The 23,040-nt window shown below is 45.4% G+C and overlaps 2 annotated features.

Annotated features, from left to right (window-relative positions):
* Positions 16,308-16,859: an enhancer, noted in NCBI's record as "NANOG hESC enhancer chrX:132568407-132568958 (GRCh37/hg19 assembly coordinates)". NCBI's record gives its function as "activates a minimal SCP1, AML or CMV promoter by ChIP-STARR-seq in naive H9 embryonic stem cells {active_cell/tissue: H9 hESC(naive)}" and the evidence as "EXISTENCE:reporter gene assay evidence [ECO:0000049][PMID:30033119]".
* Positions 19,484-20,196: an enhancer, noted in NCBI's record as "OCT4-NANOG-H3K27ac hESC enhancer chrX:132571583-132572295 (GRCh37/hg19 assembly coordinates)". NCBI's record gives its function as "activates a minimal SCP1, AML or CMV promoter by ChIP-STARR-seq in primed H9 embryonic stem cells {active_cell/tissue: H9 hESC(primed)}" and the evidence as "EXISTENCE:reporter gene assay evidence [ECO:0000049][PMID:30033119]".

Here is a 23,040-nt window from a genome sequence, read left to right on the forward strand (position 1 = left end):
ATCATACAATACAGGGCTTTTGTGTCTGACTTCTTCCACTTAGCATCATGTTTTCAAGGTCCATCCATATGGTAACATGTATCAGTACTTCATTCCTTTTTATGACTGAATAATGTTCCATTTACGGATATACCACATTTTGTTCATATAGCACTTTACAAGTTTGCACAGTGCTTCCAGGTGCACCCTCATATCTTAGAATATTTTGTTTTTTGTTTGTTTGTTTTTAATTGATAAGCAAACCAAGTCTCAGCAAGGTTCTGTGGCTTCTCCACAGCCACAGAGCTCTTGGGTGGCTAAACCAAGACTGAAATCTAAGGCCTCTGACCAAATCCCATGCTATTTTTGTTGTGGTTGTTGTTGTTGGTCAGAGAACACAGTGCTCTGGGTCTCTTTTACTGTCAGCAGTGAATGTACAACTGCCAAGGTCCTGTGGAAGTATCTTTGTTTTAGATTGATAAATGTTCATTGAACACCTCCTATGTGCCTGACAATGTTCAGTCCTAGAGGAAGGGAAGATGTATAAGCCAAAAGGAGTTTACAGTTTTATAAACGGTGTGCAAAGGCTTGCTTAGATAGAATGCACTAATGGTATACTTGTTTTTCCCAGGTCAGGAGTTTCCCCTGATATGACACTGGGAGGGGGAGGGTACATTTGCTGGTGGGCAGAGAGAACAAAGAATGCATTCCCATGCTTCTGTCCTCCAATCCAAGAGAACTGGTTGAGCCAGGTCTACTCTCTCAGCTTTGAGGACACTTCTCATGGCCTGCTGGGGAGCTACCCTGATTTCCAAATATGGGGCTGGGAAGAACCAAGCCTGGACACAGTGGCTCATATCTGTTAGGAGGCCGAGGCAAGGGGATTGCTTGAGCCTAGGAGTTCAAGACCAGCCTAGGCAACATAGTGAGACTGTCTCTACAACAAAATAAAAAGTATCCAGGCATGGTGGTGCACACCTGTGGTCCCAGCTACTTGGGAGGCTGAGGCAGGAGGATTGCTTGAGCCTGGGAGGTAGAGGCTGAAGTAAACTGTGATCACGCCACTGCACCACAGCCTGGGTGACAGCATGAGACCGTGTTTCAGGAAAGAGAGAAGGGAAGAGAGGAGAGGAGAGGGGAGGGGAGGGGAGGGAAGGGGAGGGGAAGGGAAGGGAGGGAAGAAAAGAAGGAAGGAAGGGAGCTCCCTCCCTTAGTTAGGGTAAGATGTTGGCCTGCAGCCCTCTAGTCTTTCCCTGTATCCAGCCCATTCCCCACACAGCCATCAGAGTGAGGCTTTGACAACATCTTCTGGACAATGTCCTTCTGGCTGATTTTTGTAGAGACGTTTTGTCATGTTGCCCAGGCTGGTCTTGAACTCCCAGGCTCAAGTGATCCTCCCACCTCGGCTTCCCAAAGTGTTAGGATTATAGGTGCGAACCACTGTGCCTGCCCCCCCACCTTTTTTTCTTTTTCTTTTTTCTTTTTTTTTTTTTTTGATGCAGGCTCTGTCGCCTAGGCTAGAGTATAGCTTCCACCTTCCTGGGCTCAAGCGATCCTCCCAGCTCAGCCTCCCGAGTAGCTGGGACTACAGACACATGCCACCATGCCCAGCTAATTTTTTTTTTTTTTTTGTATTTTGTAGAGACAGGGTGTCACCATTTTGCTCAGGCTACATTTCCAACTTTCTTACTGGCCCTTCCCTATCCTGTATCCTGTGCTCTGGCCCCACAAGAATGTGTCATCATTCTCCGTCCTGCATGGATTTCTCTACCTGTACCCTGCCCCTTCTTATGCTATCCTTTCATTCCCCTCCATTTCCTGGACAATTCTTTCATACTCATCCTTCAAGACTCAGCTGAGAAGTCACATCTTCTGGAAAGCTTTCCTGGATTCCTCCAAGCAGAGCTAGCCCCTCCTCCTCCTTTTAGGCCTCCAAAGCACTGTCTGCATAAAATGACTACAACACTTGCTCCTTAGCAGAGGCCACATTTTCTTTGAGAGTTCCTCCACTACCAGCCTCCAAGATGTCTTCTAGCCTTGCTTTATTTATTTATTTATTTATTTATTTATTTATTTTTGAGACAGAGCCTTGCTCTGTTGCCCAGGCTGAAGTGCAGTGGTGCAATCTCGGCTTACTGCAACCTCCGTCTACCAGGCTCAAGCAATGGTCCCACCTCAGCCTCCCAAGTGGCTGGGATCACAGGTACACACCACTGCACTAATTTTTATATTTTTGTAGAGACAGGGTTTTGCCATGTTGCCCAGGCTGGTCTCAAACTCTTGGACTCAAGCAATCTGCCCATCTAGGCTTCCCAAAGTGCTGGGATTACAGGCTTGAGCCACCACGCCTGGCCTTAGGCTTTATTTTTATTTGCATGCCTATTGCCTAAAAGAGTACAGGTTCACCAGATGGGCAGTTTCCCTGGGGAATAAAAGACCTACATTTGTATTTGAAACCTCCTGATTTTTAAATGTTAGTGACTGCTTCAGAACTCTTAAAAGTTTGTTTGACAGATTCAGCCCAGATTTCACCCAGTAGCTTTCCTCCCTCGCCCCATGCCTGTCTTTCAAGCAACCAAGCAGTATCTTCTGTTTACTTTGTACAAAGGTTGGTTCTGTGAAGGTTCCAGAAACTTAAATGATAGATGCCTTTGAGGATCTGACAGCCTGTTTAGGGAGGTAGGACCCATATATACATGGAGAAAGACACTGGCAAATATAAGGCAATGCATGTATGCCAGTCATCCTGAGACAGGAGAATAGGGTCTGGAAGCAGGGAACCTAAGGCTGAATCACTCTGACTTCCTAGAACCAAGTCAAAAGGAAAAACCCAACTTTCCACACCTAAGTAACAAAAGGACCAGAAGCTACACCTTTTGCAAGTCCCCTTCCTTTTTTCTATGTAGCAGATGGAAAATTGAAAGTACCTCTGATTGGTTGCTTTTTGAAACCAATCAGACATTTGCATAGGAGTGTAACTTTGTAACTTTGCTTCAGCCTCTGATCGGTTGCGTTCCACAACAAATCAGACTTTTGCATAGGGTGTAACCTTTGTAACTTCACTTCAGCCTCTGATTGGGGGCCAACTCTTCATTTGCATAGAAGTGTAACTTTGTAACATTATTTTAGCCTCTGATTGGTTGCTTTCCACAACCAAATGGACGTTTGCATAGGGTGTAATCTTTGTAACTCCCCTTCAGCCTCTGATTGCTGGCCATTACTTCATTTCCATGGGGTGTACACCAAGTGGCCAATGGGAAACTTCTAGACGGTATTTAAACCCCAGAAAATTCTGTAACTAAGCTCTTGAGCCCTTAAGCTCAGGCCCGCTCCCACCTTGTGGAGTGTACTTTCATTTTCAATAAATGTCTGCTTTTGTTGCTTCATTCTTTCCTTGCTTTGTTTGTGTGTTTTGTCTAATTCTTTGTTCAAGACACCAAGAATCTGGACACCCTTCACTGGTAACAATCCCAGTTTGCTCTTTTTTATGAAGGCTGGTTTCTTTCTTGGTCACTCTGGACATTTTTACAGAAGTGCCAGTAATTAAAGGATCAGCCACCTGGAAGGAGTTGATGTGAGTAAATTCATTCCTGTCTCCCAATTCCATATATCCCTTCAGTATTCTTTCTTTACTGCCTGAAATTTGCTCTAGCTTTCCTTCTCCCTCAGAGAGCTCCTTCGTGTTTACAGATTTAACCACCAACTGTAGGTCCCCAGCACCCTACTTTTGTTTTTGTGCCTGTGCAGTGGCTCCCAGTGCTGTAGTTGCCTAACTGTCTCAATCACTTGGATCTATTGCATCCTCCTTTCCATTCCACAACCATCAACCCCTATCCAGCTTCCATTACCTCTTGTCTAGACTGTAGAGCCACCCTCCTAACAGATCATCTGGCCTCCAATGCTCCTCTGCATCCATCCACCGAGGGAGAATCCCCAAATCCATCTTCCTATAACATTTATAAGCATCATACTCCTTGGTTAAAAAGTATTTCATGGGAAGACAATATCACAATAATAACTGATATTGGTTTAGTACTGTGGAGTTTATGAATTGCTTTCACATGTATTATCTGTGAAGTATGTCATATTTTCCCTAATTTATGGATGAGGAAACACATTCAGAAATTTAAATTGAAATCCTCTGAGTCCCAGTTTGATGAAACAGCCATTTTATACTATACCCGAAGCCCAAAACTTGCCCAGGAAAACATCAAACTCAGTACAAGGCTGGTGGATACAAGACTGGAGATGGTAGGAACCCCTTGAGGCCTTGTGGGATGAAGGGGAGTCCACCTAGGCAGAGAGCCAGGGTGGGGAACGGGAGGCCAGCAGAGGCCCGTGAAGGCATTATCTTGAGTGAGTACAGGTTCATCTGGGAGACTATGATGAAGTAAGTTGCCAGATAATGGAGGCACATTATCCTGGGGTCACAGTGCCATCTTGAGCCTATCGACACTGAAGATTTATAAGCAGAGAGGGAGATATCAAAGTAGTACATTGGAAAGAATGATCTGAAGGGGCGGGAGGCATAGGATGGATTGAAAAGTGGCAAGTTGCAGTCTCCTCAAGAAAGAGACGAAGGCCCAACATTTCCTCATCCAGGGATTCTGTATGAAGAGCAAAAAATAAATACGGCCAGGCACAAGGGCTCATGCCTGTAATCCCAGCACTTTGAGAGGCTGAGGTGGGCGGATCACTTGAGCTCAGGAGTTCAAGACCAGCAGAGGCAACATGGTGAAACCTTGTTTCTACAAAAAATAAAGAAAAAATTAGCTGGGCATGGTGGCACCTGACTGTAGTCACAGTTACTCGAGAGGTGGGAGGATTGCTTGAGCCTGGAGTTTGAGGCTGCAATGAGCTGAGATTGCACCATTGCACTCCAGCCTGGGCAACAGAGCAAAACCTTGTCTCAAAAAAAAAAAAAAGAAAAGAAAAAAAAAGAAGGAAAGAAGAAAGGCAGTGTTACCCAATGAAAGAGGCTATGGGGCCAAGCAAACAGAGTTAAATCCTGGTTCTGCCATTTACTGTCTGTGTGTCCTTAGATAAGTAACACCCTCCCTGAGCCTTATTTTTCTCGTGTGTCACACCTACACTATCAGGATTAAAAATATAGAAAGATAGAGCGATAGATACATATATAGGGCATCCCTCTTGGCCCAAAGCATGCCTAACTCATTTTTGTACCCTCAGCACCGGGCACAGAGTAGAAAATACATATACCTCGAAGTAATTGGAAAGCAATTAGCACACTGCCTGATACAAAGCATTCATTTATTTATCCATTACTCGTTCCTTCACTCAACAAGTATTTACTGAGGATTGCCACTGTTTTAGGCTTTGGAGATATAGTTATGAATAAAACAAAATCCTGTCTCTCATGGGGCCTAAAAGCGGGCGCTCAATACATAGTAGCTACTATTATTATTATTATGGTTGTTATAAATTCCACGTACTTCGCATTTTGCTCACACCCAGCCCTGCCAGCACTAAATGCTATTTAGTATGATAGTAAATTGATCTAATAATTTTGTATCAGGGCTCCTGAATTACATCTGTATTGGTCCATAATTAGCATTGAATTATTAATTATTGTGTTGTAGAACAGAAAGGGATTTCAATTGCTTTCATACAATATGACCTTCTCACTACAGAGAAGGTGTTTCTTATTATTCCCATTTTCCTGACAAGATAACTGAGGCCCAAAGAGTAACATGGCCATTCTTATGTAATAATCATATAAGTGATTAGTATTTGCATTATTATTTGTGATAATAATATAAGTGATATTATTTTATACTTTACTACAGGGACAAAGGTTGCATGAAGTATGCAGCTTTTATAAAATTTACATCTCATGCCCCATGCTCATAGGAGAACAAAGACCAAAGGCAGTATAGGAAGAGAGCTGGCTAATGTTCCCTGCACCTAAGCTATAATTTATAGTCTGATTTATAAAGAGCATTTCTAATTACTGAAAAAAAAAACCCACTTTTCAGTGAGTACACTTCCATGTGATGGCAGAATGGTTGCCATAGATATTCATTACTCTAGCTTGTTGTACATGATTAGATCGCAGCGCATTTCAGTGTAATTGGGGGAGAGTTCCTTCTCTAATTTGCCCACTGGACATAAATGGTTCATTCATGGAAATAAAATTATTTCTTTCTTTTTTTTTTTTAGACAGAGTTTTGCCTGTCGCCCAGGCTAGAGTGCAATGGTGCCATCTTGGCTCACTGCAATCTCCGTCTCCCCGGTTCAAGCGATTCTCGTGCCTCAGCCTCCAGAGTAGCTGGGATTACAGGTGCCCACCACCACGCCCAACTAATTTTTTTTTCTTTTTTTTTTTTTGAGACAGGGTCTGGCTCTGTCACCCAGGCTGGAGTTCAGTGGCGCAATCTCAGCTCACTGCAACCTCCACCTCCTGGGTTCAGGTGATTCTCATGCCTCAGCGTTCCAAGTTGCTGGGATTACAGGTGCCCGCCACAACACCTGGCTAAATTTTTGTATTTTTAGTAGAGACAGGGTGTCACCATGTTGGTCAGGCTGGTCTCAAACTCCTGACCTCAAGTGATCCACCCACCTCGGCCTCCCAAAGTGCTGGGATTACAGGCATGAGCCACCACGCCCGGCCATATTCTTTTGATTAAATAAAAACACTGACACTTCGAATTGGCTCTTAGATTGTTGAAGTCACTTCTGGAACATTCATTTTTCAAACGTGTTTCTATTACTCTTCCACATCTCACCTGGCTGATGAGAAAATTGCACAGGCAAAAAGAGACAGGATGGAGGCAGGGAGTTTACATTATTACAGCAGAGGCTATGGGAATATGAGATCTGGAAGGGGCCTTGGCATTCTAGTCAATCCACCTCAAACTTGACCTTTCCTTTTTTGTTTTTCAAAATCTCAAGCCTGTAAAGGGCTGTCAGAGGCAAAGCACGAGGTCTGACTCAAGCAGTTGCTGTAGCAATGGTGTTTTCCAACCTTGCTTCTTCTACTTGGATTTCATATGAGAATAAGGGCTCCCAGGTATCAGGCACATTTATGGCTCAAGATTGCAAAGGATGCCTAGTGACATGTGGTAGTGCACATTGCATTTTATATTCATTCTCTACCCCATTTGGAAAAGCGGACAAGCTGTCTGGTGTCAGCTTCACTCTCCCAGGGCTCCAGGGAGCCAAAGGGCACCCTCCCCCAACTCTGGCCCTGAACTTCATGAAACTTGCTCCTCTTCAGTGAGGATCAGAAAACTGAGTTACAAAAACAGAAAGCAACAGAATTTTTTAAATGGACATGAAAATGTTCTTAATGAAGTGCCAATTAAGCCCAACAGGTTTTTTTGGACTTGCACTTCAAACCTGGGGAGTTGGAATGAATTCCTTTTCTTCTTTTCTCCTCCTCCTCTTCTTTTTCTTACTTTTTCATAGCACCATCATCCTTGCCTTTATGTGAAGAGACAATATGCATTTTTAAGAAGACCCAGCAGGGAGCAGGCATTTTTATTCCAAAGAGATACCGCAGATAAAAAGAGTTGGAGAGAGGGTCAGCCATGGTTTGACATTTGTCATTTTCTAACACTGATGGGCAATGTCTGCGGAACTGCTGCTGTTACTGCTGCTACAACAATAACGCATTCAAATGAGGAAGGAAACTATGAAACCTGGATAGACATTCCAAGAGTGTAGCTGAATCCAAGCTGTACACCAGCACGAGGGAGTTGGCTTTTCCCATGTCCCTGTCTACTAATATATGCAAGCTTTTCTCACCCAGTCTGACTTTCGATGATAATTCTATCCAACATTTTCTTAATAATTCTCAGAGGGCCTGGCGCGGTGGCTCATGCCTGTAATCCCAGCACTTTGGGAGTCCAAGGCGGGCGGATCACAAGGTCAGGAGTTCAAGACCAGCCTGACCAATATGGTGAAACCTCGTCTCTACTAAAAATACGAAATTTAGCCAGCTTACCAGGACAGTGAAAGCTCTCACTTTTCTTCTTTTTCTTCTTTTTTATAGAGACAGGGTCTCATTCTGTCACCCAGACTGTAATGCAGTGGTGTGATCACAGTTCACAGCAACCTCAGCCTCCCAGGCTCAAGCGACCCTCCCACCTCAGTCTCCCTCCCAAGTACCTGTGACCACAGGTGGGCACCACCACACCGGGCTTTTTTTTTTTTTTTTTTTTTGACTTTTAGTAGAGGCAGGGTCTCACTAAGTTTCCCAGGCTGGTCTTGAACTCCTGAGCTCAATCGATCCTCCTGCCTCAGTCTCCCAAAGTGTGGGATCGCAGGCACGAACCACTGCACCTGGCCATCATTTTTTTTACTTGCTTTCTTCTTACGTGCCTAAAGTTTCCTGTCTTTTACCTGCATCATATCTCAACTCACTTAAACAAAAGTCTTCTTTCTTCTTGTGTAATTCTCAAACATTTACCAAAGCAGCTGCTCTCTACATCTGTCATCTCGGGACTTTCAAGCGAGTGCGGGTAATGGGTGATGACTAGAACACAGTGCTGAGTTATCAAAGCCTGCGCAGGATGCTCAGAAGCTAGAAGAGCTGGAAGAGTGAATGCAATCAAGTTCTGGAGGGAGAGCTGAGGATCAATAATGAGAAGTGACTGTATGTACACAGCATCATGGAATGGAACTGGTGACATTACCAGCTACAGAGCCAAGAATGCAGAACCAAGTGGAAATTGGGTAAATGTAGAACTTGATTAGGCTTGGGCTCAGTGGCTCACACCTGTAATCCCAGCACTTTGGGAGGCCAAGGCAGGTAGATCACTTGAGGTCAGGAGTTTCAGACCAGCCTGTTCTCAAAATTATACAGGCGTCATGGTGCAGGCCTGTAAGCCCAGCTACTCTGGAGGCTGGGGCAAAAGAATCACTTAAACCCAGGAGGTGGAAGTTGCAGTGAGCCGAGATCGCACCACTGCACTCCCGCCTGGGTGACAGAGCAAGACTCCATTTACGACAACAACAACAACAACAACAAAACCTTAATTGGGAACTAGAGAGGAAAGTCAGGGATGACAGCTACACATCCTGTTGGGGGCGTGGCCCATCTTTACTAGTCAGAAGAAGCTGGGTGCCTGGCTGTCAGACTGCTTAAAGGTAACTGATTGAGGTGGTTCTCTACTCTGAGCTGATTCCTGTTAGTTGTTGCACTGTGAAGGCCCAATACTGGCTTGACTCCTTTGATGTTTCCTTAAGGCTGGTATAAGAGGTTGCTGCTAGACCCTAGATAATAGATAATAGCTATTCTTTTTTTTTTTTTTTTTTTTTTTGAGACAGAGTCTCACTCTGTCGCTGAGGCTGGAGTGCAGTGGCATGATCTCGGCTCACTGCAAGCTCTGCCTCCCAGGTTCACGCCATTCTCCTGCCTCAGCCTCCCGAGTAGCTGGGACTACAGGTGCCCACCACCACGCCCAGCTAATTTTTTGTATTTTTAGTAGAGACGGGGTTTCACCGTGTTAGCCAGGATGGTCTCGATCTCCTGACCTTGTGATCCGCCTGCCTTGGCCTCCCAAAGTGTTGGGATTACAGGCGTGAGCCACCGCGCCCGGCCCTTAATAATAGCTATTCTTTATTGAACTCTTGTCAGCTATACACTTCCCTAAAAATATTATGTATCCCCTTTTGAACACTTGCCATGCATTATTTAATCTTTGTGACTTCCCCCTGAGTAAGTTCTAAAGTGGTCCCCATTTCACAGAGGAGGAAACTGAGGATCAGGGAGACTAAATCCCTAGCCATAGGCACCCAGATGGTCAGTGGCAGGGCTGAGAGTTGTGCCCAGTTCTGATATTAAAGCCTGTACTCTGACCATCAGCTTTCCAACACTATTTGCATCCCAGTAAGACCCTGTTTCATTTGAGGCAATCAGCAGTTGTCATGGCCTAGACCAATGAACTAAGGTGCTAAAATATTTTCTTTCTTTTTAAAAAATTGAGGTGAAGACCAGGCACAGTGGCTCACACCTATAATCCCAGCACTTTGGGAGGCCGAGGTGGGTGGATCACCTGAGGTCAGGAGTTTGAGACCAGCCTGGCCAACATGGTGAAACCCCGTCTCTACTAAAAATACAAAAAATTAGCCAGGCGTGGTGGCACATGCCTGTAATTCCAGCTACTCGGGAGGCTAAGGCAGGAGAATCACTTGAACCTGGGTGGCGGAGGTTGCAGTGAGCCAAGATTGTGCCATTGCACTCCAGCCTGGGCAACAAGAGTGAAACTCCATCTCAAAAAAAAAAAAAAAAAAAATTAGGTGAAATTTACCCGTTTCCCTCTGTGGGGCCTAAAATTTACCATTTCGAAGTGAACAATTGAGGAGTGTTTTGTGCATTCACAATGTTGTACAACTGCTACCTCTAATTAGTTCCAAAACATTTCCATCACCCTAAACAAAAATGTGGTTCCCATTAAACAATAACTCCCCATTTCCTTCTCTTACCAACCCTTGGTAACCTCTAATCTACTTTCTATGTCTATCAATTTGCCTATTCTAGGCGTTTCATAATAGTGAAGTCATACAATATTGACCTTTTGTGTCTGGCTTCTTTCATTTAGCATAATGTTTTGGGGTTCATCCAAGTTGTAGCATGAATCAATACTTTATTCTTTTTTATAGCTGAATAATATTCCATTGTATGGATGGAAATACCATACTTTATTTACCCAGTCATCCATTGATGGACATTTGGGCTATTTTCCACCTTTTGATTATTGTGAATAAAGCTGCTGTGAACATTTGTGCATGTGTATTGTTTGAGTATCAATTTTCAATTATTTGTAGTATTAGCATACTTTCTTTTGTTTTATTTTTTTCTTCAGATGGAGTCTCACTCTGTCGCCCAGGCTGGAGTGCAGTGGTACAACCTTGGCTCATTGCAACCTCCGCCTTCTGGCTTCAAGTGATTCTCCTGCCTCAGCCTCCCAAGTAGCTGGGATTAGAGGCACCCACCACCATGCCCAGCTAATTTTTATATTTTTGGTAGAGATGGGGTTTCACCATGTTGGCCATGCTGGTCTTGAACTCCTGACCTCAGGTGATTTGCCCGCCTCAGCCTCCCAAAGTACTAGGATTACAGGTGTGAGCCACCGTGCCCTGTGTTAGCATACATTGTTTGACAGGGGGAGACAGGATCTCACTCTGTCACCCAGTCTGGAGTGCAGTGGTAGGATCATGGCTCCCTGCAGCCTCAACCTCCTGGGCTCAAGTGATCTTCCCACCTCATCCTTCAGAGTAACTGGGACCACAGGTGCATGCCACCACGTGCAGATCTTTTTTTTTTTTTTTTGGTAGACACAGTGTCTCACTATGTTGCCCAGGCTGGTCTTGAACTCCTGACCTCAGCAATCCTTCCACCTCGGCCTCTCAAAGTGCTGGGATTATAGGCATGAGCCACTGTGCCTGGCCTGTTGATATACTTTTTTTAAAATAGTGAAAGACACAGTCTGTCTCTGTCACCCAGGCTAGAGTGCAGTGGCACAATCATAATTCACTGCAGCCTCATACTCCTGGGCTCAAGTGATCCTCTCACCTCAGCCTCTTGAGTAGCTGGGACTACAGACATGCACCACCATGCTCGGCTAATTTTTTTAATTTTTATTATTTTATTTTTGTAAGGATAGGGTCTCCCCATGTTGCCTAGATTGGTCTCAAACTCCTGGACTCCAGCGATCCTCCTGCCTCCGCCTCCCAAAGGGCTGGGATTGCAGGTGTGAGCCACTGTGCATGACTGACACACTTTCTTTCTCATGGATTGTGTCTGGGTGTTATAAGTGAAAGTTCTATCCTGTTTCCCTCTGTGGGGCAGTCATTGAGTAGTCTGTCAGTAGCAAATGTTGGAGGTTGGCATGATGTGAAATTATTGGGCTGTGAGTCCTATGGCTTCCAATTCAGTTCTAACTCTGCCACTTACCACTTTCTTGTCCCCAATTTTCTCATCTCTGGTATTTGAACTCTGGAAGTTCTGTCCAGCTCTGACACTCAATTTTTGCACTAGACATGATCCTGGCCCTCAAAAGGCTTACAATTTTACTGGGCAGCCAAGACATGCCCCACCAAGAGACAATTGATGGTCCACAACAGCATGTGTGCAACACCAGTAAATTAATCTTACAGGTGTTTGGAAAAAGGAGTTTTTCTTTGAGTCTACCTTCTCCATACAACATGAGGAAGCCTTTTCGATGATTTTCGAATTCCTTACTGTAACAGCTGCTGCTACACCAGTAATTTAGACGTCTTGGGCACTGCTCAGTTGGTGATATTAGCCATAGGGACCGAAGGCAGTAGTGAAAACAGAAATGTTATAAAGGTTGAATTGCGGAGCTGTCAGCAATGCCCAATTTTGGCTGCACAAAGCTAACTGTTTGCTAGGGGTTAAGGAGCAGCTGTCCTAGGTCCTCCCCCAACCTGGGGAATGGCTGCTTCCCTAAACTGAGAGAGCAGCAGCAAAAGCTTTGACCCCACTCTGCACCCGTGAAGAAACACTGCTGTACCACCTGCCTTGCAGGCCCTCTGTTCATTCCGTGAAAGCATACTACACTGCAAACTGCAGCAGCCCCTCTGTGCACTGTGTACTGCCACATCCCCTCCTTGAATTCCATTCTAAATGTTACTTGACAATTGGATAAAATCACATTTCAAAGAATGCACCGGACAACATGCAGCAGGGACCCATTAAAACATTTCTTTGGTAGATACAAAAATATACTCATTTTCCCAGATTTAAATACTTCTCAGCTCTCTCCAAAGGACTGCATAACAGATGGTTTCAAAGCGAGTCACATTTACAAACAGCAGACAAAAATATGATTTAACAGATTCTCTAAGAGTTCTTCTGAGCCTTCCAGAACCAGTCTTTTTCCATGAACTCTTTTATTTCTAATTTGTGGATTCCTAACTAAAACATCTTTCTACTTGCTAGCAACCTCTCTGTGTATTTCCTAGCTTGGGGAACATAAGAGTTGAAAGAAGTTCTAGAGCTATGGAGCTGGCTCTTGTGTTATTTTAGAAAATGCTACCTTGGCCTGAAAAATAGGAATCATTTAGCCCACCATGAACACTAGCCAAAAAACTGGGGGTGGGAGGTGGGAAGGAGGAGAGAAGAAGGAGGGAGGAATAAACTGATATAGGAATTGTCACAGGAGTTATGAATCATGTACACAGCCATTTAGTAAGACAAATGATGTTTCAGTTAAAGTCATCAAAACCAGAATCAACTCCTGGACAACACCTTGCTTTTGAAGTTTTGAAAAAAAGTCACGTCACAAGCATATACTATGATTAGGGAAAAAAACCCAGCCCTGGCCTGTACTGCAAGAGCATCCACTATTTGTGGAGACCTAAACATTAATTCACAAGGCAGGCAGTGTGTGTTAGATTCAGATAGCCAGTGGTCCTCATGGTCAGAGGAGGGGTGAGGTCATTGGGCTTTCTGTGGATGGGCTCAGGCAAGGGGAGTTATTCATACCAGAGAGGCCTCGAAGGGGTAGGAAGAGGGCTGAGGGCATACCAGATAAATAGAATGCCTTGAATAAAGGTCTAGAGCAAGTTTGTCCAATTCGCAGCCCACGGAGGCTTTGCGGCCCAACACAAATTCATAAACTTTCTTAAAACATTATGCGATTTTTTTTGAAAAAACTTTTAAGTGCATCAGCTACCGTTAGTGTTAGTGTATTTTATGCATGGTCGAAGACAATTCTTCTTCCAATATGGCCCAGAGAAGCAAAAAGATTGAACATTCCTGGCCTAGAGGATGAGGAACATTTGAGGATGGGCAGAGAGAGGAGACTGGGAGACACTTTAGCTTGGAGGAAGAGTGGACACAGAGGGAGTGAGAGGAGGAAGTGAGCAGAACCTAGGGGTTGGCAGCGTAGAACCCTGTGTGGTTGGAAGGAAAGCAGGCTTGATGATGTGTGACCAGTTGGGTTATATTCTTACTGTGCCAATGAAGACTACGTTCTTTCTCTTACGGTTAGCTTTATCTGGAAAACTAACTGTATTTACACCATCTTTAACACATGTATTGACAGGGAGAAGAAGGAGAAACCTGAGCAAAGCAACAATATATCTAGGCCTGTTTCAGATTAATAGCACAATTGTGGGTTGTCAGAGGGAAGCCATCCACAAGGAGTTGGTGCATTTTCATCTCTTACAGTGAAATTCTCCTGTTTATTCCTCCCACTCATGTTCTAGAATTTTATTTATAACACTTTTTGGCCTGCTCTTTAAAGTGTGTGTGTGCCTCTGTGTGTGAGACTGACTGAGAAACTCAAGTACTCTATTGGGCTTTGAGCTTCTGGAAAACAGGCCCCACAGACATTCCAAGTATTCTAATCATGATCCATTATGCATAAAGAGAAGCAATAGAGACAGAGACGGTGGCCCACTGTTCTGGCTGCACCGTCTGGCATAGCTGCCTCCTGGGCTGAATATCATATGGACCAGCCTCAGCTTCCTCTCTGGCCCTAGCGAGGCTACCTGGCCCTCAGGGCCATGGAGCTTTCTGGGAGCTGTCTCACTGCACTGCAAGGGGCTTCAGGGAGTTGCCAGATCCAGTCTTATGCTGCCAGGCAGGTCCAGGACAAGACACCTCAAACAGGTGGCTAGAGGTTCCTAGAGAGGGAGAGGCTACCAGCCCTGCTGGGAACTTGGCCTGGGGTTCACCCAGCCTGACAGGCAGGAAGGGCTCCCCCAGCTTCCACGGGGTTTGCCGGGGGAGGGTGGGCCTCCTCACCCTTGTGTGTGGCCTGGAGTTCGTGGCAGCAAGCTGCAGAGGGACTCGCCCACATTAGGCCAAAGTGAGCCCAGGTGTCTTGCCTGGACAGGGCTGCTGTTTCAGTGCCAATTCAAGCCTGGGTAACCACTGCCCTTTCAATGGGGTGAAGCTTAGTGACTGAAGAGTCTTCCTATTGCAGTTTAGGACCGTGGGCTCTTCCACTGGCCCACAGGAGATAAGGAGCAGCTCAGTACTCTGCCTGGGGCTCGACAGATGGAGGATAGGCTGGATAAACTGAGATTGGCCCTCAGTTCTCTCCTAGTCTGGGTTTTCTCATTAACTGAAAGGGGGCAATGTGATGTAATGGAAAGGACATTCGATTTGAGATTGGACAAACTTGTGTTTGAATCCTTGCTCTGCCATTTTGTCCAGATGTGACCTTGGGAAAGTTACTTAACCTTTCTAGGCTTCAGTTTCCTCAGTTGTAAAATGAGAATAAAAATAGCATCTTCTTCCAGCTGGGTGTGGTGGCTCACGCCTGTAAGCCCAGCATTCAGAGGTCAGGAGCTGAAGACCAGCCTGGCCAACATCTTGAAACCCCACCTCTACTAAAATTACAAAAAAAAAAAATTAGCTGGGCATGGTGGTGCACACCTGTAATCCTAGCTACTCAGGAGGCTGAGACAGGAGAATTGCTTGAACCTGGGAGGTGGAGGTTGCAGTGAGCTGAGATTGAGCCACTGCACTCCAGCCTGGGCAACAGAGTGGGACTCCATCTCATAATAATAATAATAATAATAATAATAATAATAATAATAATATCTTCCTCAAAAGTTGGCTGTGAAGATTAAAGGTATCTTGAACATAGTGTACAGATGATAAATATTAGTAAATATTAGCTTACGCCACTTTTTTTTTTTTTACCCTAATGGGTCATACAGATTTTTTTTTGAAAAAACATGCAGGGACTATCTCAATTTCTGTTGATCTAAACATTGCTTTAAATAAACGTGCCACTGCCTAGAGGTTTAGACAGCATTTTGCTATAGGGAAATGGGGCTGTGATGAGAAGTCTTACAGCAGGATCTCACTGGTATATTCAGAACTTTTCATGCCTTTGGTGTTTTCTTCAGGGCCCTCTTCGAATTTCTTTTCACCACCTCACAGAAGGGCTCCAGATTGGACTCAGAACACTGGGTAAGTTTTCATCACTGCCAAGCCAAGTGGAAGAATGCCTTCTTGTTTTTGCAGATTATTGTTTTTGAACAAATACAAAATGTTCATTTAACATAATGAACATTTTGTATTTGAAAATAATCAATATCTCAGCCTGGGCAACATGGCGAATCCCCTTTTCTCAACAAAAATCAGATGACCTGTAGTCCTGTTACCGGTGGAGGGTGTCCAGGTTCTTGGCGTTTTGAACAAAGAAGTGGAGAGAATGCACAAACAAAGCAAGAAAAGAATGAAGCAACAAAAGCAGAGATTGATTGAAAATGAAAGTACACTCCACAGGGTGGGAGCAGGCCAGAGCAGCTGCTTAAGGGCCCCAGATACAGAATCTTCTCGGGTACAAATACCCCCTAGAGGTTTCCCATTGGCCACCTGGTGTTCACTCCATGTAAATGAAGTGGTGGCCTGCAATCATTCTGATTGGCTGCTTTCTACATTCTGCTTTCTGCTGAAGTGAAGTTACAAAGGACACACTCCTATGCAAACATCTGATTGGTTGCAGGAAGCAACCAATCAGAGGCTAAAGTGAAGTTACAACGTTGCACTTCTATGCAAATGAATTCTTGGCCTGCAATCAGTGTGATTGGTTGGATACAGCAATCAATCAGAGGCTGAAGTGAAGTTACAAAGTTTCTTTCAATTTCCCATCTGCCAGTGCAGAAAAGGCGGGGCTTTGCAAAGAGAGTAGCCTCTGGTCCTTTTGTTACTCAGGAGTGGATAGTTAGGGTTTTCCTTTCTAACTAAATTGTTCTAGGAAGTCAGTGTGAAACGGCCTTAGGTTCTCTGCCTCCAGACCCTAATCTCCTGCCTCAGTCTCAGGCTACAGGCTGGAGGCAGAAGTGGGAGGATTGCTTGAGCTCAGGAGGTTGAGGCTGCAGTGAACCGACATCATGTCACCGCACTCTAGCCTGGGTAAGAGTGAGACCCTGTCTCAAAAAAGAATAAAAATAATGAATATTGTCATTTAACTTAAAAAAATTATATTGGAATAATGATATGTGAAGTTGTATTAAGTGAGATAATATAGGTAAAGTGCCCGACATGGAATAGGTATACAATAATTAGAAGCGTATGTATAGATATAAAATTTTTTTTTTTTTTTTTGTGACAGGGTCTTGCTCTGTCACCCAGCAGGCTGGAGTGCAGTGGCACAATCTCAGCTCACTGCAGCCTTGATTTCCCAGGCTCAAACAATCCTTCCGCCTCAGCCTTCTGAGTAGCTGAGACTACAGAAGCACACCACCACACCCAGCTATTTATTTTTATTTTTGTTTTTAGTAGAGATGATGTCTCGCTATGTTGCCCAAGCTGGTCTGGAACTTGTGAGCTCAAGCAATCCTCCCACCTCAGCCTCCTAAAGTGCTGGGATTACAGGCATGAGCCACCATACCTAGCCTAGCAGCTGCTATTATTATGAGTACTTCTATTATTATATTAAAGCAGAAGATGATGGGGGAGGACGCTCAAGAGGAAAGCTTTATCCTTCCTCCCCTTGACTGGAATGCTGAGCTCCAAATGGATATACATTACATCAAAGGCCTGTTCAGTCATCTTGGCGAGATTTTGAAATTCCCCCATCTGAAGTCAATGAAGTCCCCATATTTGTCAACTTGATCCTTGAGCCTGAGACCAGAGAGAAAGAGAAAGTGACTGGCCAGTCTAAAGTTCTTTGTAATTGCTCCAGACAAAAGGTTAATGAGGAAGTGGAGAGGCCCTTCCCTGGAGGACACAAAGGCCGGGCCCTCCCCTCAAGGAACTTAGACTCTCCCCTAGGCTCACTCCCCTCCCTATTATACCCACTTGTAAGTTGTTTTGTAAGTGTCCTTAAGGCTTTTCTCAAGAGAGCCGCTTGGAGATCGCTAATTAGGCCTGTAAACTCATGGGAGACAAGGGCCCCTGGCTTTGATTTCTTTTGTTTCCCTCTCGCTCTCACAGAGACTAGCACAGGGCAGGGCCTCAACAGAAGTTGCTGGCTGACCTTGGAGACATGGTCAACAGGCTAGTTAGAAGCTCCAGCTTAAGTTGTATTAAGTGGCATTCACTGATGACTGTGGCTGGCTGGTTGGCTGGCTGGCTGGTGCAGACAGAGCCAAAGAAACCGGAATCCAAGGCTGCCAAGGGCAGTTCAGGAGGGAAAGCCAGGCAGTGAGGAGATGGGGGTTTGGGGGAGGTGGCACCGGGGGTGGCTCAGTCATCTCCACCAGTAGATTACATGTAATTGCCTCTACAGCATGTGCTCAGATTACCTTCTGTGCAATTGACAGCAAACTGCCTGTTAAGAGTGATGGGAGCCAAAGGGAGTGAGGGTGAAGCAGATGGAGGGTGGGTGTATATTTTGAAAAACTCGACCTTTTAAAATGCATGTAATACTGTAAACACCTTTTGATTACTGCTCCTACCGCCACAGCAGAGGCACTGACTCTATGGGGTTTTATATGATATTTGCCTCTGTTGGCTAGGGATTCATTTCCCAGGTTAGCCAAAGCACAACTGTCGATCAGGCACAGTGGCTCACGCCTGTAATCCCAGCACTTTGGGAGGCCGGGGCAGGTAGATCACTTAAAGTCAGGAGTTCGAGACCAGCCTGGCCAACATGGTGAAACCCTGTCTCTACTAAAAATACAAAAAATTAGCCGGGCATGGTGGCACACGCCTGTAATCCCAGCTACTAAGGAGGCTGAAGCAGGAGAATCGCTTGAATGCGGGAGGCGAAAGTTGCAGTGAGCTGAGATCGTGTCATTGCACTCCAGCCTGGGCGACAGAGGGAGGCTTCGACTCAAGGAAAAAAAAAAGCACAACTGTCTGTCTGGTGGATAATGGAAATTCAGGGCAGCCTTTTTGTCTGCAGGGGATAGAAGAGGGCATACTTGGAGTAAGGAGGCATTCCTAGTAGAGCCACTGGGATACTATGTGACTTAGGGACTGTCATATCCCGCTTAGGATCACTTACCTCCCTACATAGAATCCTAAGGATGGAAAGACATCTAACCAACTGAATATGACCATAGCAGGTGCCCAACCAAATCTGAGAGTGGGAAAACAACATTGCTGAGGTCTGTTGGGGGAAGAGGAAACAGATTTAATCCGTGTGGTTCCTAAAGGCGGAGCTGGGAACAAAGGGGAGAAGGTCCAAGGAGGCGGATTTCACCTCTATCTAAGAAAGAGCTTTCGAACCCATTAGAGCCGTTACAATTTAAATAGGCTGCCTGCTAAGGTAATGAGTTCTCCAAGCAGGGAATTGTTTAAGTTTCTGATTTAGTCTCTCTAACCACATATCCTGCTTCTTTGCCAAAATTTGCGAAACCAAAGCCCCGACTGCTCATGATTCAAAGCGACTACATGTGAGACCCTGACATCCTAAGCTCAGTGGCTTTTGGCTCCAGGGCCACTGCCAGACCCTGCTCTCGTATGTGGATTTCTTTCTCTAGAAATCAAAGTAGGAGCCCCCAAGCTGGTCTCCTGCTTGGGGCGTGGCTCCCGTCCCAGCACTTCCTGGAGTAAGTTAAGATGTTCCTGCTTTGGCCCTCAGGGAATTGGACACTCCAGGTGTTGGCCCTTCCTTCTGGTGTTGGACTTTCCGGGTGCCAGGCAGGCCCTGCATTCCATCTGTTCAGCAACTCTCCAAGGCAAGTCCATTCCTCTGCCCCAAGGAAGATCTGCCACCAAGCAAGCTTGGCAAGGAAATACAACATGTTTACAAAACTACAAACCATTTTTCACTAGCTTGCCAGTCCCCTAAAGGTACTGTAAGAGCAAAAGACATGAAATTAGCATTCTTGACCTGTGACCCCACACAAATCATCATTCCCTAGAAAGAGTGGCTATTCACAAAGCAGAATTCAGCCATTCCCTCCTGATTGACACAACCTGGACATGTGCGTTTAAAGAGGCAGATTTAGAGCTATCCTGTGTTCCATCTAAGCTTTAAATGTATTCAGCCTTCAAATGAGTATTCATTACAAAGAAAGCGTTCAGGACTTTTGAATACTACTTTCAATAATAATACTTTACCTTGGGGGAGGGGAGGAGTAATCTATTTACAATTTGCAAAGCCTTTTCAAGAACCTGGACCAAAATCAAAGCAGCAAGACTCAGCACACCCCTGGAACATAAGTGCTCAATGAATATTAAGATTTCTTTCTTGTTCTAAGAAAAAAACAAGAATTTTTTTTCTTTCTTTCTCTTTCTTTCTTTCTTTTTTTTTGTTTGTTTTTGGAGACAGAGTCCCACTCTGTCACCCAGGCTGGAATGCAGTGGCACAATCATGGCTCACTGCAGCCTCGACCTCCCCAGGCTCAGGTGATCCTCCCACCTCAGCCTCCTGAGTGGCTGGGACTACAGGCGTGTACCACCACACCCAGCTAATTATTTTGTATTTTTTTGTAGAGGCAGGGTTTCTCCATGTTGCCCAAGCTGGTCTTGAACTCCTGGACTCAAGCGACCTGCCCTAGCCTCAGCCCCCCAAAGTGCTAGGATTACAGCGTGAGCCACTGTGCTAGCTAAGCCTGGCTAAATGTTAAGATTTCAACAGAAATCTTAGATGGCACTGTCCCCTTGGAGTGTGGCCAGAGCAGGTATTGTTACCCACCTTCAGTTTACAGATGAAGAAACTGAGGCCTACAGATGTTCATGACTTGTCCTCTCACCTTATCTGCTAATCTTGAGCTAAACAGAAAGCAGAAGCCATAAAAATGAACTGGCCTCCTGTGCTGTTCTGTGTAAGGAAGATCTGTTATGGGGGGTAAGGGAGGCTTCTCTCCAATACTTTCATATGGTTTTGCACACTGCCTGATCTCTAAAAAGCCACAGAGGTGTGACTGTCCTGGAGGTTTGGGGTCTGAATGTCTTCTTCCACCTCCAAATCTTAACCCAGAGGTGCAGGATCGGTCTTTATGATTTTAGTAACTCAAAAACCCAGATACTTTCTTGAGTCTGATGTTTTGTTAGATTTGAGAAAGACTTTATTATTATCAGGTTCTCTTTTGCTTTCAAAGTTTTTTAAAGTTTTTTTTTTTTGTTTTTTTTTTTTAAGATTTCTCTTCCTCTTTCTCCTTCTCTTGTAAGAGAGGGAAAGGCCAGGTGCCGTGGCTCATGCCTGTAATCCCAGCATTTTGGAGGCTGAGGCAGGAGGATTGCTTGAGACTGGGAGTTCCAGACCAACCTGGGCAACAGAGCAAGACCCTGTCTCTATAAAAAAATACAAAAATTAACTCTGTCATGCACCTGTGGTCCCAGCTACTTAGAAAGCTGAGTGGGAGGATCACTTGAGCCTGGGAGTTTGAGGCTGCAGTGGGCTATGGTCGATTGTGCCCCTGCACTCCAGCCTGGGTGATAGAGTGAGACCCTGTCTAAAAAAAAAAAATTAAAAAAATAAAAAATAAAAGAGGGAATACTTTTAAAGCTGTTTTGTTTTTTGTTTGTTTTTTGTTTTTGTTTTTTTTTTTTGACGGAGTCTTGCTCTGTCGCCAGGCTGGAGTGCAGTGGCATGATCTCGGCTCACTGCAACCTCTGCCTCCCCGGTTCAAGCAATTCCCCTGCCTCAGCCTCCCGAGTAGCTGGGACTACAGGCATGCACCACCACGCCTGGCTAATTTTAGTAGAGACGGGGTTTCACCATGTTGGCCAGGATGGTCTCCATCTTCTTACTTCGTGATCCGCCTGCCTCGGCCTCCCAAAGTGCTGGGATTACAGGCATGAGCCACCACGCCCGGCCCCTTGATTGTTTATTTCCTCTCTTGCTGGCTCAGGGCCCATGTCAATTAGCTTCTATGATGGGGTACACAGGGCAGGGGCTGCCGCATGGATCCCCTTCCAGCTACCACCTCCCCTATGGCCCTTGAGGACTTGAAGGACTTCTTCATGTGTTCCTCTGAGAGTGGCAGGGCTGAGATGATCACCAGCTTAGCCCAACCATGCTCCAAGGCTGAGCCCTTTGAAGGAAAACTGGAGGATTGGTGGCTACAGTCACTTCTACTCTGCCTCGTATAACTAATGCACAAAGAGGGGAGAGTAATAGGACAACTGTCCTGGGGTGTAGCTGGAAATAGAGTCAAAGATGTGATTCAGTGGGGGAATTTACTGATGAAATCATTGCCAATGGGGGTGGCAGAGAGTATGTTTGAGGGCGAGGCATTACCATCTGTTGAGGGCCTGCCAGGTGTTACTTGTTTGTTTCTAGGTGCTTTCTTATGCTATCTCATTTAATCCTCTTTAACAACCTTATGAGATAGAGTTACTATCCCCTATTGTAAAGAGGAAGAAACAGAGGCACCCTGAGAGGGGCAGGCACCAGCCCAAGGTCACGCAGCTGGTTTTCCAGGTACTCCTGTGTGTCTAACTTTAGTGCCCATGTTCTCTGGGCTTCGCCACAGCATTCCAGGTGTCCAGCACTGCCTGTCAGGAACGAACAAGGAGACAACGGGAGATGCTTTTCGTTCCAGGGTTCCTATCATCACCATTCACAACATTGAGCCTGGGAGGGTCTTGAGCTGCCCTGCCCCTCTGGATGGTGCCTGTCGGATTCTTCTTGTGTTTACCCCCCAGATAACCCAGGAATACACAAAGTCTTTAGTGTGCATTGCTCCCCCCTTCCTCCCTGCTCACATAAAAGCTGGAGCTCTTATCCTAGAATTCAGCCTTCCCCGGAAGCAGGAATCTATGTGCTAATGTGTTAATCCTCCTATTCAAAAGGTCGCTTCTTCCCTACTGTGGGGACCAGCAGCAGTCTATAACCCGCCCCGTACAGTATTTCTGTCCTGGGGTGAGCCTTGTTCCAGCCTAATTATAGCACAAAGGGGAGTTTAGACCCACTCATGCAGTTGTTTAAATTTACTGGGAGCAAATGGGGCTAGGGGATTTGGAAGGTAGCAATAGGGTCCTGACTTCCAAATTACTGGAGGCCACGTGACGACCAGGGCTCTTAGAGAAAGCAGGAGGGGATAGGGAGGAGAGTCATGCACGTGTGCCCTAGCCAGAGGAATCCCCCAAAGGGTCAGGAGAGTGTGGGCAAATGACCGAGGGCTAGAGCCGGCATCCTGGAGGAGCATGGTCCTCCCTTTGGCATGCCATGGGCACCCTATAAGGAGGCTGCGTCCATTGTGGGAGCC

Source organism: Homo sapiens, chromosome X (assembly GCF_000001405.40).
Source record: "Homo sapiens chromosome X, GRCh38.p14 Primary Assembly".
NCBI classification, from domain to species: Eukaryota; Metazoa; Chordata; class Mammalia; order Primates; family Hominidae; genus Homo; species Homo sapiens.